Below are 23,566 nucleotides of genomic sequence, written 5' to 3' on the forward strand. Positions count from 1 at the left end.
GAAGAGTGTTCTAAGCAGAGGAAACCACAACTGCAAAGACTATGAGGTTGGCAGCTTGTGGAGAGCTTTCTGGGAATACAAAGCTGGGTAAACAGTCTGTGGGGTCAAAGAGGTAATGAGGGGAGGATTTTAAAGCCATCGTTAGGACTTTGGTTTTTACTTGTGTTGGGAAGCCACAGGAGACTTTGAGCAAAGGAGTGGTACGATCTCACTTCTTTTTAAGTAGATTTATTTAGGATTCTGTATTAAGGATAGAGTCAAAAGACTAGTTCCTGGTCTACCGTAACACTATAATCCAAACAAGAGATGATGCAGATTGTAGCGGAGGTGGTAAGTAGTTGGATATACTTTGAAGGAAGAGCCAACAGGTTATATGCCAAATGCATATAAGACATAAAAGAGAGGAGTTAAAGGTGGGTTTGAACAAGGAAAGATGCAACCATTTACTGAAATACAAAGACCTTGGGTATGAGTGAGAAGGGGTTGAACTAGCTGACATCTTACAGTCTGTGCCTGGATTCAAATCTCAGCTGTGTGTGTCTCTCTCTCTGTAAAATGGGAATAATAATAGTGCCTACCTCATAGTTTATTATGAGAATTAAGTGGGTATATATGAATAAAGCACTTAGAGCAACACCTGGCACATTGTTAGTTAATATTAGCATTACCTCTTCAAGCTGGAATCTTCGAGTACATATCAAATTTTAGCTATTCTCTGTTCATGGGCTGTGTAGGATAGAGGGACAAAACTGAGTGGCTAATAAGAAGATAAAGATAGAAAACTAAGCTTAAAGTTAAAGGATATACACTTCAATATTTCTACATGTATGGAACAGTATTGCATACACGCGCAAGCATCACTGAACTAGATGCACCCTTCAAGAGATTGGGTTACATATTGATATATATGAATGAGAACCCTGAAATAAACTGATTTCAGAGGAATAACAGAAAACATATACATTTCTATACCTATAAGGACACTGAAAACTTCCAATCCTGAATCAAACAGTTAATGAAATCCCAAAATGCAACACTAATGCAAATGAGAAGACGCTGTCATAGAATGTTGAAATACATACTCTTCTAAAGATAAAAGGTCTGCTCTTCCACCCTCTTCATTTTCCTACAAATTAGGAAAATTTAATCAGTTCTGAAAAAGGAAATGTACATGCTAAAATGGTGAATTACTGCTAGAGTTCTGATGTTTAAAACCACAGGCTTGCGATCAAAATAACCTCTTTAATTTTAGATTATCATGCAGATTAATTTCTTCAGTTTCTCAGGCACTATTCTGTTTTTTTTAAAAAAAGGGTGGGGTTTCAAAAGAAAACTAATACTCATTTTTTCCCCGATTAAATTGCTCAACCATTAAAAAGGAGAACAAATTGGAAAGTCCTACAGTACTCTCTCCCCTCCGTCCCCCCCCTCCCCATTTTTTTTCTTGAAAGGGAACAAGCAGTACTTTTGCTAAGGGATCTTTAAGCCGAAACTCAGCTAGGCGCCCCAGAGCTTCCTCAGGATAGCAAAGCTGGATTTTTGAGCAGCACCACCTGCTGGTCCTACACACGTTTTACTTCCTCCACCCCAAATCTCTTTCTGTTGGAACTGCACTCTTTCAGAGCCTCTGGGCCCTAATACAAAGCAAGCACACTCTAAAGAAGCCAGAAGAATGCAAGCAGCGAAGTCGCCGCTCCCCACAGGCAAGAGAGTACCGGCAGACAGCGGCGCGAGACAGGGGCAGAACGATGAGGCGCCGGAGTTAGCTCGCCGGTGCGGGTGCGGGTGCGCGGCGCGTCGCGGCCCCTCCTCCGCGACGCGCCGGGTGGTCACGTGACGGCCGCGCGCGTTCCCGGCAGCTGCGGGCTCCGAGGCCAGAGAGAAAAGACTGCGAGGTGGCCGCAGCTGTGGCCGGAGAGGTGGGAGTCGGAGCGAGGCCCTCTCGGGGGAGCAGGGTGAACGCCGGCCACTCTAGGATCCTCACTCGGGGAGAGGAGGCATAGCTCGCGGTGTCACCTCCAGCCGCAACGTACTCCGGGTCGGCCTTGCGCTCGGGGCCTGAGAGGGGCGGCGGCGGGGTCAGGGGCCGGTACGTAGATGGACGCCCTTGGGCTGGCGCGGCCCCGGCTGTCCGCGCAGAGGCGGGATGGGACAGTTCAGCCCTTTCCGCCACCCCCGCCTTGGCTGCTGGGGCAGGCAAGACGACCGTGACAGCCCCTGCGCTGCCCGAGGGCGCCGCAGCCCCTGCCCTGGGTGACGGCCGGAGCTGGTCTCGGTCCGGGTGCGAGGGGCGGAGCAGCGGCCATTACTGCGCAGCCTCTTCCGCCTGAGCCCGCTTCGCTGCCTCGGGTGGCAGGCGGGTCCCTCTCCTCCCCTCTGGGCCGTGGTTTTAGGCCTTTACCCGGGGACCTTCTGGCCTCGAGGTGTAGGGGCGGCGATGGTTTTTCGGCGGTAGCCTGCTCCATGTTTTCCCGTGTGGGGTCAGACAGTTTGGGCCTTGGGTCAGATCGAAGCCAGGGCGTACAGTCTGCATTTTTGCCTTTTCCCGGAGTGTCTCTGGCTGCTGCTTTCTCTTCTCTCGCTCTTCCTCCTTTTTTTTCTCCTGCTCAGTGTCTCGGTCTTGCCTAAAACGAAGAGAGCAATCCCTGCACCTTGTCCTAGTGAAGCCCAGCGCTGCATATTCTTAGTTGTTTTTGACGGCTGTTGAAGCATCGGAACAATTAAGAGATCTCAGAATATCCCTTGAGCCTCCAAACCCTCTGCATCTTAAAAGCTGAGGCTGTTGCTTTGTTCTGATTGTTGGGTGGGGAGTTCTCTTCCTACCCTCCATCCCGTCTGAAGGAGTGTGGGTCTTCCATTGTTGTCGCTATTTATTTTGCTAAGGCTTCTAAAGAATGTAAAATTGTTTTAAGAGTGGAGACGGAACCGTCCTCTCCACAGGTAAAACCTACAGGACTGTAAGTTTACACACACATCCTGGCAACTAGAATCTTTTCTCGTTAATCATATTGGTATATGTTTTAATTTATTTTCTCTAAGTGCCATTTTAGTGAGCACTTATTTCTCAAGTTTTGAACATTTTGTTTAATATTTTTGTAATATCGAAACAGTGTAGAACTGAGGAGAGAAGAAAGCCCAAAGATGATAGGGTACGCTTTGTTCTTTGTATGATTGGCATTTCAGGTAGTGGGCACATCCCCCCCACCTCGTGTGTGTACTTTTCAAATGGGATGTGAACGTATAATATTGGCATTCAATCCAGTATATAATTATAGAATTTGGAAGACTTAGGACATTTTAGTCAGTGAATCTATATTTAGACTTTTCAAAGACATGGCACGTAAGGACACGTGGAGAAAATGTCCCACACAGATAACAGGATTTGTGATTTTGGCTTTGCTGTTTTATGATTAGCAAATATTGTTTGTATAGAGTGTCTGGGTGCCCTAAAAACACATGAAAATAGGTCAACTAAATCTCGTTTTAAAGAGAAAACCGGAAGAGTGAACACCACTCTAAAAATAGATTTTGGATGTGTTTGTTTTGGTGCCTTGTATATCTTAAAGTGGAGGATGTTGTTCAGCCCAATCTTTCATTTAGAATTTATGTCTCAAATGAGCCAGTGTATCATGTGGGCAGACTGGAAATACATTTAAATATTTTTTTTCTTCGCTGGTTGTTCAGAACTTGGTAGAATTATAATTATCAGGAAAACTCTCTCCAAATAGCTGGTCTTTTAGACAAGAGAAGAAAAAAGAAATAACTTCTTTTAAAAGGAGATGTCAACTTACAAAGTGTTTTGTTTCAGTCTCCACCAACCTAACTTGTCAGAGGAAAGGAACAGACTTTTTTTTTTAAAGGATCCAAAACGATATTTTGAGTCAAAAGAAGAAAAGGATATTAAATCTTTTGTTTTCACAATATCGATCTTTTTAAAGAATATTATTTTATATGTTAACCATATACTACCAGGAAACATCTAACAGCACTGACAGTTGGGAATTCGAATGCGTATTTTTCTCCCGTGTTAGTAATAGAAGGTACTGAGCCTTTTCCATTCTCTTGGTTGCCTTGTGCCTGAGGAATCTGAATTTGTGAAACAACATCTTTGTGGATATAGAAACTAATTTATGTAACACTTGGCTACAACCACCTGTGCTTACTTACGGACTATCTTTAGTTTTCATGGCGTGTTACCTTTTGGGTTAATTCAAATCCAAAATGTTGTTAACGGACTGCTAATTAAAGCATTTAGAACTTAGAATTACAGAATTATAGAGTAGGATGAGATAACAAAAGACTGGGGGTTATGACTTGACCAAGGTCACACAGATAATTTGCCAAAGAGCTTTCTTATTTATGAAATGGTTGCTGGCTAAGAAACATCTGTGTGTGATATGATTAAAAGACAATATTCGTTCACTTTTACATCTCATGTTTTGAAATAAAATGCAAAGCTCACTTTTTTGTTGTTTTGAGAAAAATTAAAGGGTTTAATGGGCTAGTATAAAGATTGTGAAGGCAGTAAGTAGACTGCCACATAGTAACGTCTTAAAGGGAAATAATTCTTTAAAGTATCAGACCCCATTTAGTTGAAATGAGTTTTGTCTGAAGTTTCCAAGTATGACCTATGCTTTTTCTTAGCTAATTTTTAGCAGGAGATGATGAGGGCTAAAAATTGAGACATTAGGGCATTTAGTTACATCTCTCAATTTGTGACTGGTTTATAAAAAATACTAAGATGTGTCTGCTAACTCACACCTGATTTATCTACTCCTTTTATGTATATATAATTTTTTTTGAGTTGTGTACCAAAAGTTGGAACATTTCAAGTATTTTTTCTTTCTGTCACTGAGTGATTTCATGTAGAACATTTACTGTTTTGTGTATTTTGAATAAATGGCAAAAATCTTATTAAACATTAGCTGTTAATAATTAGAAAAATACAGTAAGTCTTCAAATATTTATAATTGATATTTGTCTTTGTTTTTATATGTATTTATATTGATGTTATATGCTCATCTTTTTCTTTGATTAAAGATAATCGCTTGCTTGAATCTATTACCTGAAAAAAACTCTTGACTTTGATCTTGTGACTGACTTGAAAAGTGGGAGTATGAGTATTTTGAGTTGTTACAAATTATAAATGGTACAATATTACTTCATTTTTAGTTGTATTTATTTTTCACTTATTTGAATGGGTCAAGATTTAAATTCATTGATAATCCCTAAACCCCTTTGTGTATTTTTAAGTTTTACCTGTCACTGTTTTTTTCCTCCAGAATTGTTAGGGGCAAAGTATCTAATTTGGTTTTAGACTTTTTCTTTTTTTTATGTTACCTTCTTCATACATCATCATATTAAGTTTGGTGTAAAATTTACAGGTCATTCATTCCAGTAGGAATTATGTATGTTTGAGTTATTTATGTTTGGCAAATTAATTCTGGCCTGTAGTTGAAATCATACTGTTCTGTTTTACATCCCCCTATTGGTTAAAATAAAAGCATCCCTTCTCCTCCAACTTTAAAAAAACTTTGGTTTCAAATAATGTGGGAGTTTTCTGAGGGCTTCTTCACATGATTGTTATAAGTATTACATGTATGCCCTATTTTGTGCCCAGTTGAAATTATAGTTGACCATTGAACAAAGGTTTGAACCGTGTAGTTCCACTTATACAATACTTTTTTTTTCTGCCCCTGCCACCCCTGAGAGAGCAAAACCAATGTTTCTTTCTCGTCCTCCTGAAAAAGATGAAGGCCTTTATGATGATCCATTTCTACTTAATGAATGTAAACATATTTTTCTTCCTTATGATTTTTTTTTTTTTTGAGATGGAGTCTTGCTCTGTCATTAGGCTGGAGTGCAGTGGTGCGATCTTGGCTCACTGCAACCTCCACCTCCCAGATTCAAGAGATTCTCCTGCCTCAGCCTCCCAATTAGCTGGGACTACAGGTGTGCGCCACCATGCCCAGCTAATTTTTGTATTTTTAGTAGAGACGGGGTTTCACCATGTTGGCCAGGATGGTATTGATCTCTTGACCTCATGATCTTCCTGCCTCAGCTTCCCAAAGTGCTAAGATTACAGGCGTGAGCCACCGCACCTGGCCTCCTTACGATTTTTTAAATAATGTTTTCTTTTTTTTAGTTTATTGCAAGAAAACAATATATAATACAACATACAAAACATATATTAATCCACTGTTTATGTTATCAGTAAAGCTTCCAGGCAATAGTAGACTATTAGTAGTTAAGTTTTTGGAAACTCAAAAGTTTACATGGAATTTTGACTGCGCAGGGTGTAGACATTCTTAACTCCTCACATTGTTCAAGGGTCAACTGTATAAATTCTGAGAGTTAATAGGTGATGGGTCAGTTTGGCAGAATTGGGGCTACCTAAACCCATTAACTTTGATTATAACAGAATATGCAGTTTTCTTTTTTAATGTGTCTTCGGCAAAAGTCTAGGTAAATTAACATTGAATTCATTGTCTCTATTAAACAATTCCTGTAGTGACTTGTCAGTTTTGTATTTAACAAGATTAATATGCAAGACATTCTAGACCAGCATTGCCCAGTAAAGTAGCCACTAGCCACATGGAGTTATTGAGCACTTGACATGTATCCAGTCTGAATTAAGTTGTGCTGTAAGTGTAAAATACACACTGGATTTCAAAGAAGTATGCATACGCTTACCCAAGAACATAAAATATTACATTAACAATTTATATTGAAACATACTGAAGCAGTAATGTAGAAACGTTGGATTAAATAAAATATATTATTGAAATTAATTTTACCTGTTTCTTTCTATTATTATTTTTGTAGAAATGGGGGTCTCACCATCTTGCCCAGGCTGGTCTATAACTCCTAGGCTCAAGCCATCCTCCTGTGTCACTACCCACAAAGTGCTAGGATTACAGATGTGAGGCACCATGCCCTGCCTCTTTTTATTATTAATGTGGCTAATAGAAAATTTGAAATTGCATACGTGGCTTGCATCATATTTCTATTAGATAATACGTGACCTTTTCTGTGAGAGACAATACATTGTAGAAAGACATTTTTAAAGGTAAATTTGAATTTGAATCGCATCTCCCAATATTGATGGCTTTGACTTTGGGTAAGTCATTTAACTTCCTGAGCTTAGGCTTCCTCATTTGTGAAATAGGTATAGTCATATTTCACAGGGTTGTTTTGAGGATTCAGTGACATATGGATTTGGTAGTGTTTCACTAACTAATATATGTGAATCACTTGGAGATCTGGTTCTGTAGGTCTAGGGTGGCACTTAGGATTTTCATTTGTGAAGAGCTCCCAGGTAGTGCTGATAGTACTAGTTGGGAATCCCAGTTTGTTTGTATAGCTAGGATCTAGAGCATTATGTTAGTTTTAATTCATTTTCCTTCCCCAGCATTTATCCAGTTAGTCTGCACTTTGAAAAAATTATTCATGAGGATATAGAAATTGAAAAAGTCACCAAAGCATGCAAGATTTACTAAAATTATATGAACTGTGGACTCTTAGGGCTGCTGTAGGATTCCTGTTTACATCTGTTAAGTTTTTTGTCTGCTTTTATCTGGAGTCACTTTTATTGGTTGCATAAGATGGCTAAATCTCAGCCAAGAAGAACCTGGTTGTGTTGTTCTACGCAAATGTATTTTTGAAAGATAATGCATAATGAGAGGTGAAATAAAAGAATGCTCAAAGACAATAAGAGGGCAGTACAATTGACCCTTGAGCAACATGGGGTTAAGGGTGCCAACCCCTTGCACAATTGAAAATCTGAGTATAAGTTTTGACTTCCCCAAAATTTAACTACTAATAGCCTACTGTAAAGTCAGTTAACACGTTGTTTGTTATATGCATTACATACTATATTCTTACAATAAGCTAAAGGAAAATAAATTCCTAAGGAAGAAAAAATACATTTACAGTACTGCATTTACCGATACTGTGTTTATGTTACCTGTTTATAAGGTGTCTGTCTGAAATGATGGGTAACTGCAGCTGCAGACCCATCTAGGGTGTGTACCAGGTAATTTAACTTCTTGTAATGGCATGACTTCTTGGCTTCTTGGGAGCACTTCTAGCATCACTAGTGGCACTTCACATGGGTCCCATGGTGTTATTCAAGGTTTATGGTATTGTACTAAACATGATGAAAAATACACAAGAACAAGAGATTACATTTTACTCCAATACATGCAGAGATGATTAGTGTCCACAGCATTTTAAGTGGAAATTCATAATAGCAACAGGAAATTATTACAGTATGTACTACAATTAATTTTATACAGCTATGATTCATACTGCATCTTTACATTTGTTTAAATTTCTTGTACCACCTCAAGTGGCACCATATGTGTCTGTGTTTACTAAGTTTTGATACACTTTAACTTCTTATAATTTCTCTATATTTTATAATACTAAATGATAAAATAGACTATATATGTTTTATGCATTCATAATATACCTAATTTTTTCTTTTCCTTTTTTTGATGTTTCAAGACTACATGATTCATCTGCAAGTTTTTTCAAATTGTCACAAATCTCCAAAAAAATTTCCAACATATTTATTGAAAAAACTGTATGTATATAAGTCAACTTGTTCATTTCCAACCTGTGTTGTTGAAAGGTCAGCTGTATGAGGTTATCGTCAAAGATCTTTAAAGAAAGAAATGACATCATCAATATTTTGAAAATTAGAGAAAGCCATTTCTAAAGGAATCCTAGAAATGACTTCAGGCCAGAATTAGAAAAAAAAAAATTGAAGAAATAGGCTAAATAAATATGTCTTTGGCTGTGTTCTTTTGAAAATGGCATTAATGTATAGAAAGATACTCGAATGTGAGTTATGGTCACTGATACATTCTTTTGTTTACTGCTGAACATAACTGGACTAGAGGAGTGTAATGAGGGCAAGGATGTTCTTTCTGTTGAAGGAGAAAGTTTATATTGATGGAAAGTCATTATTCATAGATACTTTGCTGTTATTTCAGTACTATTAAGTAAATAGTTCTCTGCTCCTGGGTTTGTGTGTGTGTGTGTTTTCTTTATAAGGGGCTTTTTCAAATAATTTTGCTATTGATAAGTTACTTGAATTTAATCATTAGTCTTCAAATAAGGAAAGCAGAATGAGAGAATGCATCTCCTTGAATTAACCAGATTTTTTTTTAGTACCTTTGTTCTAGTGGATATGTAGCAAAGCTTTTACTTTAATATTTGTGGCTATAGCTTTATTTCAGCTATGTGAAATAGTTTTATAGGAAAGATCACAGCTTATTTGGGTGTTCAAATATGGGTTCTTTAGAGGATTTTTTTGTACTTATTTTGAAGCTGCTTTGTTTCAGTTAACTTAGATTCCTTTAAGAATCAACTTTTGTTTCAGAGATAAAATATTTATGGATAAGACCTAAGTAAAGTAAGTGAATAGAGAGGAATAAATTAGATTGGTTACAGATAATGTGTAAATGCATTCAGGAGATAAGGAGAATTAGAAACAAGGACATTTTTTGTGTATTTCTTAGGAATAAAATGGTACCTTCTACACATCTCAATTATTAAAGTACAAATAGTGATTGAACGAAATTTTTAGAAGAAATGTTTTAATTGAATCTTCACACTAGAGGTTTTACCATTCAATCAATTAGGTTCTGAGAAGGATGGATTGGTACATCTTAAAAGACTTGTAAGATAGCGAAGGATAGGCAGTGCTAATGACCAACAGCAACACTCAGCAGGACTTTGTGGACCAAAAAACTTCAAGTTAGAATTGTGGGTAAAGGCTGGGCATGGTGGCCCTCACCTGTAATCCCAACACTTTGGGAGCCTGTGGTAGGAGCATCACATGAGGCCAGGAGTTTGAGGTTTAAGTTACCTGCAGTCATACCACTGGACTCCTGCCTGGTTAACAGACGCTGTCTCTTAAAACAAAACAAAACAAAAGAATTGTGGGTAAAGTAAGAGCAAATTGACTTTTGAGTGATGGTCCGAAAACCTTTGTGATGGGTAAAGGGTAGAATGTCTGTATAATTTTTCTGAACTGGAACACTTGTTGGGAGACCAAGGGCAAACTGGATAGATGCTGGGCTGACCTATGTGGTCATCCTAGTGAAGAATCATAAGCTTTATTGGGGAAAGAGCTTTGTGAAGCTGTTTTGGCTGTTCAGAAACCCATCTTGGTTTATGCTTAGATTTTTATCTCCATTTTGGAGAATTCATTGACAATGAACAATAGCTGGGTAAATGATTTGCTTGCCAAAAGATACAAAGATGGGTTGAATTTTATATTTGTAAATGTAGGAACTCCTTTAGATTTTAAGTTATATAAAGCAAGGATTAGAACTTAGATATTTTTATGTATCTTACAGATTCCAGCTTGAGTTCACAATTAGAACTCAAGTGTTGTGTTATTTGAATAAATCTAATCCTTTGATATTCTGTTCCTCACAATAGTTACTTTTAGGAGTTGATTTTTCATTCATCCAAAAAATATCAGTTCAACAAAAATTGATTGACAATTTACTAGCTATTTAAAGATATAAAAATCTCCCTATCTTCAGGGGATTCATGATTTCACAGAAGAGTCAGACTTCACAAATGAATTGAAATTAGTGCATGTGATAAATTCCGTAATAGAAAAACATACAAAACATAGAGGAGAGAACAGTTAACTTTCTGGAGGTAGTCAGAGAAAATGGTAGAGATAACCATTTCTGTGTAATATATTAAAGAACAAATAGGCATTCATAAGCTGTAAAAGGGAATAGATCGTACCAGGCAGGAGGAAATACAGAGCTACAAAGGGAGGTTTGCAGGACTATGAGTAATTTTATACAACTAGATTATTAATCTATGGGTGGTTGTTGAAGATAAAAAAGACTAGAGACTAATTATTTACAGTTTAGATCTTTAAAACCTTTTAATGTTGTCCTAAGGAGCTTTGTCTTTATTGTGTAGGCTGAGGACCCAATATTGTGCTTCACATATGGAAGAAACCTGGTCCATTTTGCCTTTTAAATATATCAGTCAGTCCTAGCTACTTGGGAGGCTGAGATGGGAGGATCGCTTGAGCCAAGCAGTTTGAGGTTTTAGTGAGCTATGATCATGCCACAGCATTCTAGCCTGGGAAACAGACTGTAGAGTGAGTGTATGTGTGTGTGTGTGAGAGAGTGAGAGAGAGAGAATCTCACTCAAAGGCTTAATAAATGAGGGTGATACTGACACAAGATAATCAGGCTGAACAATAGTCCAGGTGAGAGTTATGTAGGTTTAAACTAGGGCACTAGCAATGGGTAGAGAGTACAGGATAGATTCCAAAGGGATTAGGAATAAAAGTTGACAGAATTTATGGTGTGGTTGGTTGGGGTGGGGGAGCAGGGGGCTGTGTGGTGAGAGAAAGGACTTTCTCTTTTTCTCCATGAACACAAAGTAGTTAAGACATGAAACCTGAGATGTCATATTGTAAGAATTATGCAGAAATGGGGGTTTGTAAAATGTGTGTATATGAGATAAAGATATGAGGGGGCCAAGGGTTCTGTTAAGAAGTAAAAAAGATTGGGTTCCAGAATGGGCAGGAAAGGAAATGAGATCAGGAACTGGATAAAGGAAAGGAGATGGTCAAGAGATGGTAGGTCCCCATGAAATTGAAGAGCAGGTGTGGGAATGAGTAGGCTGGAAGAACCAGAGCTTGTGATCTGAGAGTCGGATTAAGATTTCAGAGAGGCAGCAGTTTAGGTGACAACTAGCTTTAAATGTGATTATAATATTTGGTTGCTGGAGAGTAGATTAATTTCTTCAAATTTAGGATTTAAGGAACTGAAAATTGAGGATGGTGTTTCTCAGATTGTATTTGAAGGACTAAAGCATGAGTACCACCTGGGGTGAGATTCCTAGGTTTAAACCTATGTCTACTGGCCTAGAATTTCTAAGGAAAGGGGCTGAGAATATGTATTTCTAACAAGCAATTTCAGTGATTCTGATGAATAGAAGTTGGGACAAGTTTAAGAACCTGTGCAATAGGTGTTGGATGGTTCATTTTCAAGGCTATTTAAATAGGCTGATAGTCATGTCAGGAGTTAGGATGAAGAGGATGATCAGTAGTGAAAAGATGACATTAATCCCTTACAGGTGGTGAGAGAGCAGTTTTAGGGGATTATGGGGTATGTTAAAGTCAGTGTGATAGAGACTTGAAAGAAAAAGTAATGATGTTGGAGCAGTAAATTGTCTCCTCCTGTCCTATATATAGGGAGTGTATGAAAATGTGCAGTTTTCTGTTTGGCGTAGGCTGCAGCAAGGAAATGAACATAGCCTTCTTTGATGCCATTGAAGTTGTAGGCTCCTTGAAGTTGGTGAAAGGGTTGAGAGGAAAGTCAAAATAGTGGAGTCCATTTCATCTAAAGTCAGAGTAAAACAAAAAGGTTACTTAGAAACCTTGTTTAGTCAGTATATTAGGCAGTGTTCTCTAGGGGGACAGAACTAATAGAATATATATATGAGTTTATTAAGTATTAGCTTACACGATCACAAAGTCCCACAACAGGCTGTCTGCAAGGAGCAAGGAGAGCTAGTCCGAGTCCCAAAACTGAAGAACTTGGAGTCTGATGTTCGAGGGCAGGAAGCATCCAGTACAGGAGAAAGATGTAGGCTGGGAGGCTAGGCCCATCTTTCTTTTTCACATTTTTCTGCCCGCTTTATATTCACTGGCAGCTGATTAGATTGTGCCCACCAGATTAAGGGTGAGTCTGCCTTGCCCAGCCCACTGACTCAAATGTTAATCTCTTGGCAACACCCTCACAGACACACCCAGGATCAATACTTTGTATCCTTCACTCCAATCAAGTTGACACTCGGTATTAACCATCACAGTCAGTTACTTTTGAAAGTTCTCTGATTTTAAAACAAATTGTTTGTTCTGTTAAACATTTGGTAGGATAAGTCAGCTTGTATTTAGGGGCCACATAATGGCATTAAGAATATGTTTCTTTAAACACTAGAATCTTAAGATACCGTAGGGAGATAGATGCCCATAGTATGAGAGCCACATGGAAATAAAAGAAGATTGAAGTCTCCTCTATCTTGTGTTTACTGTGAGATCTATCATTTCTTTAGTTATCATGTGTTCTTGATTATTCTGTGTAATATGATGTGCGTCCTGTAGTGGACATGGTGAGGTGGAGATGGAAATACTAAATGAGAAGAAAGAAGATTAATGACTGAGATGGTACAGGTTTTTAAGAGTACAATTCCATGTAGTTAATTTCATTTACAATGTTATGCAACTATCACCATTATAGATTTTCCACAACTTTTTTTTAGCATTACAAACAGAAACTCTGTACCCATTAGGCAATAACTCTCCACTTTCCTTCCTTCACTCTCTGGTAACTTCTGATACCTTCTGCTTCTATGAATTTGCCTATTCTTGATATTTCATGTAAGTGGAATCATACTTTTCTGTATGTGGCTTATTAGTATGTTTTCAAGGTTCATCTATATTGTAGCACATATTTCTTTTTATTACTGAATAATGTACTGTTGTATTTATAGACCACATTTTGTTTATCCATTCATCTGTTGGTAGATACTTGAATTGTGTCCACCTTTTGCCTAATATTTCCGCAGTGAATATTGGCATACAAGTGTCTGAGAACCTCTTCAATTCTATTGCTATATCCCTGGGAGTGGCATTGCTGTGTTAGCTTTTTGAGGAAGCAACAAATTATTATTCACAGCAGCTACACCCTTTTACCTTCCTACCAGCAGTTTTCAAAGGTCCTATTTTTCTACATCCTCACCAACACTTATTATTTTTCCCTTTAAAAAAGTTGTAGCCTCCTTATAGATGTATCATTGTGATTTTGATTTACATTTCCCTAATTACTAATAATGTTAAGGATCTTTTTGTGTGTTTATTGGCCATTTGTGTATCTTCTTTAAGTTCTTTACTCATTTTTTGCTCACTTTTTAATTGGTTTGTCTTTGTTGTTGAGCTGCAGTTCTTTACATATTCTGGATATTAAACCTTTATCAGATACATGATTTGCCAAGATACTCTCCCATTCTGCAGTTTGTCTTTTTATTTTCTTAACAGTGTCTTTTGATGCACAAAAATTTTAAACTTATATAAAGCCCAATTTATTTCCTATGTTTCTCATGCTTTTGATGTCATATCTAGGAATCCATTGCAAATCTAAGGCCATGAAGATTTGCTCCTGTGTTTTCTATTAAGAGTTTTATGGTTTTATTTCTTATATTTAGGTTATTGATTCATTCTGAGTTAACTTTTATATATAGTATACGGTAGAGGTCCAGCTTAATTATTTTGCATGTGGAAATCCAGTTGTCCCAACAACATTAGTTAGAGGTGCCTGTTTTCCCCCATTGAGTAGACTTGACACCCTTTTGGAAAATCAGTTGGCTATTGATGTATGAGTTTATTTCTGGACTCTCAATTCTATATCATTGGTGTATTTATCTGTCCTATGCCAGCACCAAACTGTCTTGTTACCTTAGCTTTGTAGTAAGTTTTGACATTGGATTTTTCAAGATTGTTTGGGTTACTTAGGGTCCTTTGCAATTCCATATGAATTTGAGGATTGCTTTTCCATTTCTGCAAAAAAGGTTGTTGGAATTGTGATAGGAATTATGTTGAATCTGTAGATCACTTTGGGTAGTATTGTCATTTTAATATGTTAAGTCTTCCAATCCATACATCACTTGTCTATTTACTTAGCTCTTCTTTAATTTCTTTCAGTAATGCTTTATAGTTTTCTGTGTACAAGTCCTTCACCTCCTGGGTTAAGTTGATTCCTGGCTATTTTATTCCCTTAGTTACTTTATGAATGAACTGTTTTCTTGATTTCTTTTTTGGATTGTTGTCTCCTGGTGTATCAGAACACAACTGATTTTTTTGTGTGTCAAACTTGTAACCTGCAACTTTGCTGAATTTGTTTATTAGCTTTCTTGGGGATTCTATGAGATCTTCTATCTAGAGAGAATAGACATAGTTTTACTTCCTCCTTACCCGTCTGTATGCCTTTATCTCTTTTCCCTAATTTGCTCTGCTAGAACTTACAGTCATGTTGAATAGCAGTGGTAAAAGCATGCATCTTGTCTTTAATTTTTCCCACTTTTAAGATAAAGTTTTCCACTGAATTTTTTGAAAGGATTATACATAATTAACTGATTCTCTTGATCTTAATTACTCTTTTTTTCTTTTGCAGCACAAAGAATGAACCAGCAGTGGAAGAGAAAATACTGTAAGCTGGCTGACTGCTGGTGAAGAAAATGCTTTATTTTTGTGGCAGGCATCTGTGGGATCTGTAATAGAAATGTAAGTGTAGCATCATGGTTTTTTTCAGTGCTGCAGTAAATTAAATGGATTGGTTTAACGTGTGGTAAATTGAGTATCTGTCATATGTAGTTTTAATTATATTAAATGAGCATTTTCTTTTGACTTATAGGTGCTTTATTAACAATTTATTTACATTAAGTTATCGTTAATGTAGATTTCCAAGTCTCCTCAAAAGGAAAAGTCTCTATAAGAAAAACTGAAGACACAGGAGTTTGCTCAAAGAATGCTGAAATAGATCTCCAGGTCCTCTGGGTTCTACCTTCTTTTTACATAATAATTTTCTTAAATAACTAAGCTAGGCAAGTAGTACTAGCTTTTGTAAATAAGACAGACTACTAGGTTATAAAAACTCTAGTTACTAAAAACTTGTTTCACTAAATTAAAGGAATTTCTACATAATTGATTTTTTTAATGTAATAATACATCACTGCATTTTATTCATATCACTTCACTCTGATCCCCAGTTTTACTAGTTGTGCTTTCATCATTTATCTTTGCATGATATGCTTTAAAGTGTTACACACTACCTTGGATTTGTCCATATTTAACTTCACCGTATTGATGAAACATTTTTCACTATGAATATATTTCTGTTTTCTAAATTCATATAAGCCCTATGCAACTTGATGTCATTCATGAAAAATGTAGTGAATATTTTATTGACTTTTAATTACAGTGTTTTTCTTATTAGAGCAAGAGTGACCTTGGTAGATGCTATTTCACATTTTCCCAGTTTGACATAAAACTCTTGCTTTCTACTCTTCCAGTATGATACTGGTTACATGTAATGATATGTATTAACAATAATTAATTTATTATTAAAAGTATGACCATATTATTTTTATTCAGTATTGAAAATTTGATAATTGAAAAATGATACTAATAAGCATTTGTCTTTAAAAATATATATTTTATTTAATCCTGTCCATTTATCTATCTGTATACATTTTTTAAAATCTTAATAGGTCAGATAGTCTAGGTGCTGGTCATCAAGGAACTTACTGTGATCCAGTAAATGAGACATGTATGTAATTAACAAACAGTGGAATAGATGCCATATTAAGGTAACAATCAGATGCTATTGAAACTGAACAGAGGAAGAGATTAATTTCATCTGAAGGGTTCAGAATGAACAGAATAAGTTTCACCTTGCCTTCAAAGAATGAGTAGAATTTTAACAGTCAAAGAAAATTAGGAAATATTTTTCAAGCCAAGGGAATGAGGAGGGAAACAGCTGCCTAATCATCAACACATTTTAGAGGAGTCAGGGAACAGTAATATGTGGGAAGGCAGGGTAGGAGAAAGAGACTTCAAAATAAGTGCAGGGAGTGAACATTTATTTAGTACTTACTATATTACCAGATTTTACATTTATTTAACATACAATCAATCTTAATTGATTTTGATACTTAGGGACAGAGTATATTGATCAGTCTTGGAGGAGTTAGGGGACAGTACTTACTAGATGTTGAGGGGTTAGCTTTGTAAACAAGTAGCAGTACCCCATATTGAGCCAGGAGGAATAATGATAAGACAGTAAAGGTAAAGATAGATTTTCAGGATTTATTTTTGACTTACCTAATTTCTCAGTGATACAGGTGTTAGTATATCGATAAACTAGGAGGGAGAAGTTTTATGATAGTCTCTGGGGAATAGGGAAAGAAAGATGTCTTGGCCGAGTAAAAGTTTACTGGGATTGATGGTGTTTAGGAAATCAAAATAGCTATTAAGTGTGTGGGGTTCACAACTTTTGCACCACACAAAAGTGAATTGTATGGTGAAATTTTTGTCACTTAGAGTAACTTGCTTGATTATTCTTTTTTGCGAATGTCTCCCTTGTTGGCTTTTGTGGTGGTGGTCTATCTTTATTTCCTGTTCTTCTCTGACCATTCCTTACACCCCTTCCTGGCTATTTTACCTCACAGATATTGGAGTAATTCAAGATTCTGTGGTTGGCCCTTTTGACTGCTCTCTCTACAGGTTTAATTTGGGCATTTACTCATTTTCATGGCTCCAAGGACCATGTATGTGTTGGTGAGTCACCAGACTTTTTTCAGCTCAGATTTATTCTTGGAGTATCAAACTAGTAAATTCAGCTGTCATCTACCTATCTCCACCTGGAGACCTTAATAAAGTCATTATGTCTGAGACAGAACTCTCCTCAAATTCTGAATTTTGGTGAATGTGTCACCATCCATCAGTAATCAAATGCTTTCATTTCTTTTTCCTTAGCATTCTTCTATTCTATTGTTGGAAACTTACATCAGCAACCTCCCTCTAATTATCTTATACTTGCATTACTACCTGGATATTCTAGTTTCCCTTTCGCCATACCTCCTCCTGCATTACCAAACTTTCCTCCAACCTGCTGTTCAAATGGTCTGGAAGCTACTAAACTGGCTGTTATTTCCTGACGTAAAACCTTTCAGTGAACTCCTCTTGTCTCATTAGTGGTTCATATGTGGACCAGCTTCATAGAAATCCTTAAGCCCCTTGAAATTATATGTAGGATTGTTCCCTTTTTGTGTGTCTGTAATTGGATTCTAAATTCAGACTTTAAAAATCTGATTTTTAATATTTGGAGTTTTTATTGCAAGCTAAAAATTTCTTGAATACTACACATACTAAAGATCTTTTTTGCTTATAATAATTTTGCCTTTCATTTGACTAGTTGTCCAAGAAGTTTCAAGGAAATCTGAGTTCTTGGAGATTTCCACTAACTCTGCCCATACCCCTCTATATTTTGTCTTCTTGAGAAGAAGACTTAGTATTAATAGACTCTTATTAGTCTGGCAGAAATATTTCACATGGTTTATCTATTGGAAGAAGGGGATTTATACTTAAAAGTTGGAATATCACATGAAGAATTCAGTAAAAACGTCTTTGAAAGTAAATGATGTATTATACTTATTAATAGAATTGGACTAACGTCACTCCAAATTTCTGTGTATTAAATTCTTAGTTTAGTAAACTGGAAATAAATTCCCTTTTTCAAAATTAGAATTTTCTGAGACATTTATGAGATAGGGAATACCTCTTTTGATTAGCATTAATACTTGCTCTACACAAAGGGAGGGGAAAAGCTTTCTTATTTACATATTGGTATGATCATCTGCATACATTTAGTCTCCCACCTATTTTAAGATCATTGGAACTGCAAAACAGAGACTGTGTAGGGTAGATTAAAATGGTTTTTTAAAAAGCCTTGAAGTATGTCTTATAGGTAGACTAGCAGTTTGGGGTTACTTTGTGTCTATCTTGTTACACATTTTATCTCTATCTTACTTATTGCATGTGCCTCATTCAGAATTAAATAAGAAATATCACTAAGTTTTTCTGCCCATTTGTTAGTTGGTGATAGACTAACAGTATACTTGATGGGCTAAACAGAATCAGAATTTATAAATTGCTATGGCAAATTGATAGTTAAGAGTGCTTCAGATGAAATAATGACCATTTAGCTGTCTGGTGTCCATTGTTTGCAGATTAACTTTGTCCAACTTCACTTCATTCTGATGATGGAACCAAAATACCTGCACAAACAGGATTGTTTTGCCTTTCCAATTATGTTATTATAATTCATGCCTTCTCCTGGGATGATTGTAATTGCTTTCTTAGTTTTGAAATTATGTGTTTTGGTTTATTCATAAATGCAAGAGTAAGAGTCATGCAAAATATTAATCATATTAAGTAGGGTGGAGGATAATGTTTTTAGGTTGGAAACTTTTTTTTCTGTAGATAAACGAGCTGTATGTGATGGAAAACTGACTTCTTGGGCCCATTTTACTTAAAGCAAATACAATAGGTTTGGAATTATGTATTTAAAAGCATGGCATTGGTCCACGTGACATGTTGGGTGTCTTGTTTTCATTTTACCAGACTCTGTTTTTATTTATGTTTTCAGTTTATGATCCTGTCCTTTGTTCATAAGGTACTTAGATGGTTTAAGATGTAGACTTCTTATATGAAGATGTTGCTGTTGTTTTTCCAAAGTAATGGTGGTCATCAGCCCATTTTTCTATTTAGTCTCATGAATAGAATCATGAGTAGAATCTTTCTTAAATTATTACTTGTAAATGGATCACTTTCTTGTTTTCTTTTTCTTAATTGGAGCTTTAAATAAATATGGAACTTGGAACAAAAAGATTTTCAGGAATTTTATGGAAACTAACTTTTTTGACCTAAATCGAAAGGGATGAAAGTTTCTGAAAACCTAACAAAATGTGTGCACAGCCAATTCTTTTAGGGGAGGAAATAGGCAGGGAATGTGTAATTGGCTATTTTAAAAACATATGCCTTCTTTTGTAACTTATTGTTGTTTCAAGTTACAAGATCTTTGAAGGCAAGTGTTTATCTCAAAATATTTGAAAGCTTTTATAGTGCTTAACATACTAAGACGTCCTATTAGGGTTTACTTAGAACAAGCTTATCCAACTTGTGGGCCACATGTGGCCCAGGATGGCTTTGAAAGCGGCCTAACACAAATTCATAAGCTTTCTTAAAACATTATGTGATTTTTTTTTTTAGCTTATCAGCTATCATTAGTGTTAATGCATTTTATGTGTGGCCCAAGACAATTCTTTTTCTTCCAGTGTGGCCCAGGGAAACCAAAAGATTAGACACCCCTGACTTAGAACTTTCCATAGGTTAGGAGAAAGTTGTACTTTCTTGATGTCTATAACCTAGAATTTCTGGTAAAGGAATTGATTGGAAATGTTATTAAAAGTTGAAAATAATTTGGAAATTAAACATTTTAGTGATCAGTTCTTCCATTGAGACTGTGTTGGTTCCTTTACTAGATATGTGCCATCTTTTTAAAAACTTACTGTGTTGCTTCCTTTACTAGAAAATTGCCATCTTTTTGAGCCTTGTCTATTGAGGAACCAAGAACACAGAAAAGGCAGTAAAAAGAAAAAAAAGGATTGTTTGAAGATTGAATGTGCTGTGATGATAGCCTAGGATTATTGTTTTTCAATTTTTGATGAGCGTAAGCATTCTTGTTGACTATATCTTTTGTAACTACTGACCCATTTAGAATGGCAGAATTAGCTGGCAGAGAGATTGTCATTCATTTTAAGCTTTCAATCTCTGACATCTTCATCTTTATTTCTCAGTCTTTTTTACTTATCAGTGGTTTACTCCATTATTTTCTCCCCTTTTAAAATGTCTTTTTTTTTTTTTTTTTACCATGGGGAAAAAAATTAGATGTTTCCTTGGCAGGGCACAATAACACAATAAGGCTTTCATGACTTAACTTTTGATTACCTTTACACCTTCATCTCCTGCTCTTCCATTGCTTGTATGACTATTTGACTCAGTGTCTTGCATGTGCTTCTGCCTGGAATCTGCTCCACTGCCCAGCCCCTCTGAATGAACACTAAACTTTCTAACCTATGTCCATCCTCTCATCTCTCTCTTACTGTTATTTTAGTAAGTATGTTAACACATTTTGATTACGCAGGAATCAGGCCATATTGTAATTATCTGCATGTATGTTTCCTTATTTAACAGAGTAGTTGTGTGTCTTATTTATCTTTAGACCCATCAGTACTTAGTATTGTATCTGGAACATGGCAGGTGTTTAGTAAATGTTTATCTGAATCAATAAGGCAGAAATTATAAATTTTATGTCAGTGTTTAAGCTAGATACATCCAATTTGACAAATCTTTTTTCTTCTTCCTCTTCAGGGGATCTTCAATATTCATGTTATTTTCTCCTTTGGTCTTATATGATTGTTACCTTTATGAAGCTTTAGTGATTACAAAGCACTTTTTTTGTCCATTTTTACCTGAGCTTTGTAAACTCTGATTTGCAGGTAAGGAAATTTAGACTAATGGTTTAACTGAGTGCCTAAGAGCACATAATTAATAAAGGACTCTAAAACTCAGATTTTTAGATTTCTTGTCTAGCATTCATTTCACTGTATAATAGCTGCCATGATTCAAGGTATCCTTTTCCCCTCACTGGATGCAGCTTTTCATTATATAGTTCTTCAGTGTGTTTCTCCAGGGCTGATCTGTTAAGTGCACTGATGGAATTTTTATACATTCCCAAGGTATGTACAAGTAGATGCTTACAAAAAATTTTCATCGGTTGGAGAGTTTTTCCTCTACTTTCATCTTCATATCCCCATTGTCTAGTATGTGGCTTGCATATAATGCACATCATAGGTGGTTAGTGTTTTCATAATTGTTAAATTAAGATATTGCAAGAATTAAAACATGACTTTAATATTATATGTATTTTTTCTTAGGATGGCTGGCTGTGGTGAAATTGATCATTCAATAAACATGCTTCCTACAAACAGGAAAGCGAACGAGTCCTGTTCTAATACTGCACCTTCTTTAACCGTCCCTGAATGTGCCATTTGTCTGCAAACATGTGTTCATCCAGTCAGTCTGCCCTGTAAGCACGTTTTCTGCTATCTATGTGTAAAAGGAGCTTCATGGCTTGGAAAGCGGTGTGCTCTTTGTCGACAAGAAATTCCCGAGGATTTCCTTGACAAGCCAACCTTGTTGTCACCAGAAGAACTCAAGGCAGCAAGTAGAGGAAATGGTGAATATGCATGGTATTATGAAGGAAGAAATGGGTGGTGGCAGTACGATGAGCGCACTAGTAGAGAGCTGGAAGATGCTTTTTCCAAAGGTAAAAAGAACACTGAAATGTTAATTGCTGGCTTTCTGTATGTCGCTGATCTTGAAAACATGGTTCAATATAGGAGAAATGAACATGGACGTCGCAGGAAGATTAAGCGAGATATAATAGATATACCAAAGAAGGGAGTAGCTGGACTTAGGCTAGACTGTGATGCTAATACCGTAAACCTAGCAAGAGAGAGCTCTGCTGACGGAGCGGACAGTGTATCAGCACAGAGTGGAGCTTCTGTTCAGCCCCTAGTGTCTTCTGTAAGGCCCCTAACATCAGTAGATGGTCAGTTAACAAGCCCTGCAACACCATCCCCTGATGCAAGCACTTCTCTGGAAGACTCTTTTGCTCATTTACAACTCAGTGGAGACAACACAGCTGAAAGGAGTCATAGGGGAGAAGGAGAAGAAGATCATGAATCACCATCTTCAGGCAGGGTACCAGCACCAGACACCTCCATTGAAGAAACTGAATCAGATGCCAGTAGTGATAGTGAGGATGTATCTGCAGTTGTTGCACAGCACTCCTTGACCCAACAGAGACTTTTGGTTTCTAATGCAAACCAGACAGTACCCGATCGATCAGATCGATCGGGAACTGATCGATCAGTAGCAGGGGGTGGAACAGTGAGTGTCAGTGTCAGATCTAGAAGGCCTGATGGACAGTGCACAGTAACTGAAGTTTAAATAAAAATGTCTTCAGCTCCATGCTCAAGGTTGAAAGGGTTACCTGTAAATTTCTGCCCACATAACATTATACTCATCCCTAGTAGTGCATTTTGGGAGTTGGGGTGGGAAGGGGTATGGGAAGGATAGACTCATAATTAAAATGTCTAACATGTCTCTGTTGAGAAATTTATTTAATGTAAGGAACTTGGGTGTTAATAGTTGAGAGCTGTTTAGTAATAACCCAGTTTTCTTGAGGTCTGTTTACTTTATACTTTTTAAAAACTTCTGTAGTTCTTTTGGCCAGTGTGTTTGTATTATCTGTGCATTAATGGTCCTCATCTGACTCCTGCATTGTGTCTTATTTTTCTGCATGGATTGGCATAAGACCATTACTAAAATTTGGCACCTGTGAGATGTTTGATATTATGAACAGGAAACATAATTTAATGTATGAATAGATGTGAATTTGGGATTTCAAAATAGATGAATAACAACTATTTTATAGTAAAGTTATTGAAATGGAAATGAAAACAGCCAGTAACTTATGTTTCAGAATGTTTGTAACACACTTCATGGTGTTCCCATAGGCTTTGCTGTCTAGTCTTATAGTTTGAGGTTTTTTTGGTCTGCATTTTTCTTTTTGATTACAAAATTTATAATTTAATAAATACTAGAGTTTATCAAAAACAGTTTGTCTCTTGTTTGAGGGTGGAAAGGGTGTGGAAACATTTTGACATTTGTGACCAAAGGTCACTTAAAAAGTGGTGGTTTTAATTGGTTGTTTTCAGCTTAATCACCTGCTCAGAAAAGTTTGATTTTTTTCTTAGAGATTATTTAAACAGAATCTATAGGCAGTGTGTATATAATAAACATGTATGGAAATAAAACTAAAGCCTG

General features: G+C 36.6%; 1 protein-coding gene across 18 annotated transcripts, besides 3 other annotated features; it reads left to right on the forward strand.

Moving 5' to 3' along the window:
* Positions 1–1,675: 1,675 nt before the first annotated feature.
* Positions 1,676–23,556, forward strand: RNF146 (ring finger protein 146). 18 transcript variants are annotated; one of them, XM_047419389.1, is made up of 6 exons: positions 1,858–1,919; positions 15,225–15,334; positions 15,510–17,389; positions 20,202–20,342; positions 21,044–21,171; positions 21,610–23,556. In XM_047419389.1, exon 6 carries the CDS (start codon positions 21,611–21,613, stop codon positions 22,685–22,687), a length of 1,077 nt encoding a protein of 358 aa, XP_047275345.1. In that variant the 5' UTR covers positions 1,858–1,919; positions 15,225–15,334; positions 15,510–17,389; positions 20,202–20,342; positions 21,044–21,171; position 21,610; the 3' UTR covers positions 22,688–23,556. The 18 variants fall into 18 exon arrangements, with proteins under 18 accessions (NP_001229780.1, XP_047275345.1, XP_047275344.1 ...); XM_047419388.1 differs by having other exon boundaries at positions 15,510–15,598; positions 17,281–20,342; XM_011536161.4 differs by lacking the exon at positions 20,202–20,342 and having other exon boundaries at positions 15,510–15,598; positions 17,281–17,389.
* Positions 1,817–1,916: a silencer, noted in NCBI's record as "silent region_17526". NCBI's record gives its function as "represses an Ori minimal core promoter by ATAC-STARR-seq in GM12878 lymphoblastoid cells {active_cell/tissue: GM12878}" and the evidence as "EXISTENCE:reporter gene assay evidence [ECO:0000049][PMID:35858748]".
* Positions 2,017–2,286: a silencer, noted in NCBI's record as "silent region_17527". NCBI's record gives its function as "represses an Ori minimal core promoter by ATAC-STARR-seq in GM12878 lymphoblastoid cells {active_cell/tissue: GM12878}" and the evidence as "EXISTENCE:reporter gene assay evidence [ECO:0000049][PMID:35858748]".
* Positions 2,487–2,546: an enhancer, noted in NCBI's record as "active region_25039". NCBI's record gives its function as "activates an Ori minimal core promoter by ATAC-STARR-seq in GM12878 lymphoblastoid cells {active_cell/tissue: GM12878}" and the evidence as "EXISTENCE:reporter gene assay evidence [ECO:0000049][PMID:35858748]".
* Positions 23,557–23,566: the final 10 nt, after the last annotated feature.

This window comes from Homo sapiens, chromosome 6 (assembly GCF_000001405.40).
Source record: "Homo sapiens chromosome 6, GRCh38.p14 Primary Assembly".
Lineage (NCBI taxonomy): Eukaryota > Metazoa > Chordata > Mammalia > Primates > Hominidae > Homo > Homo sapiens.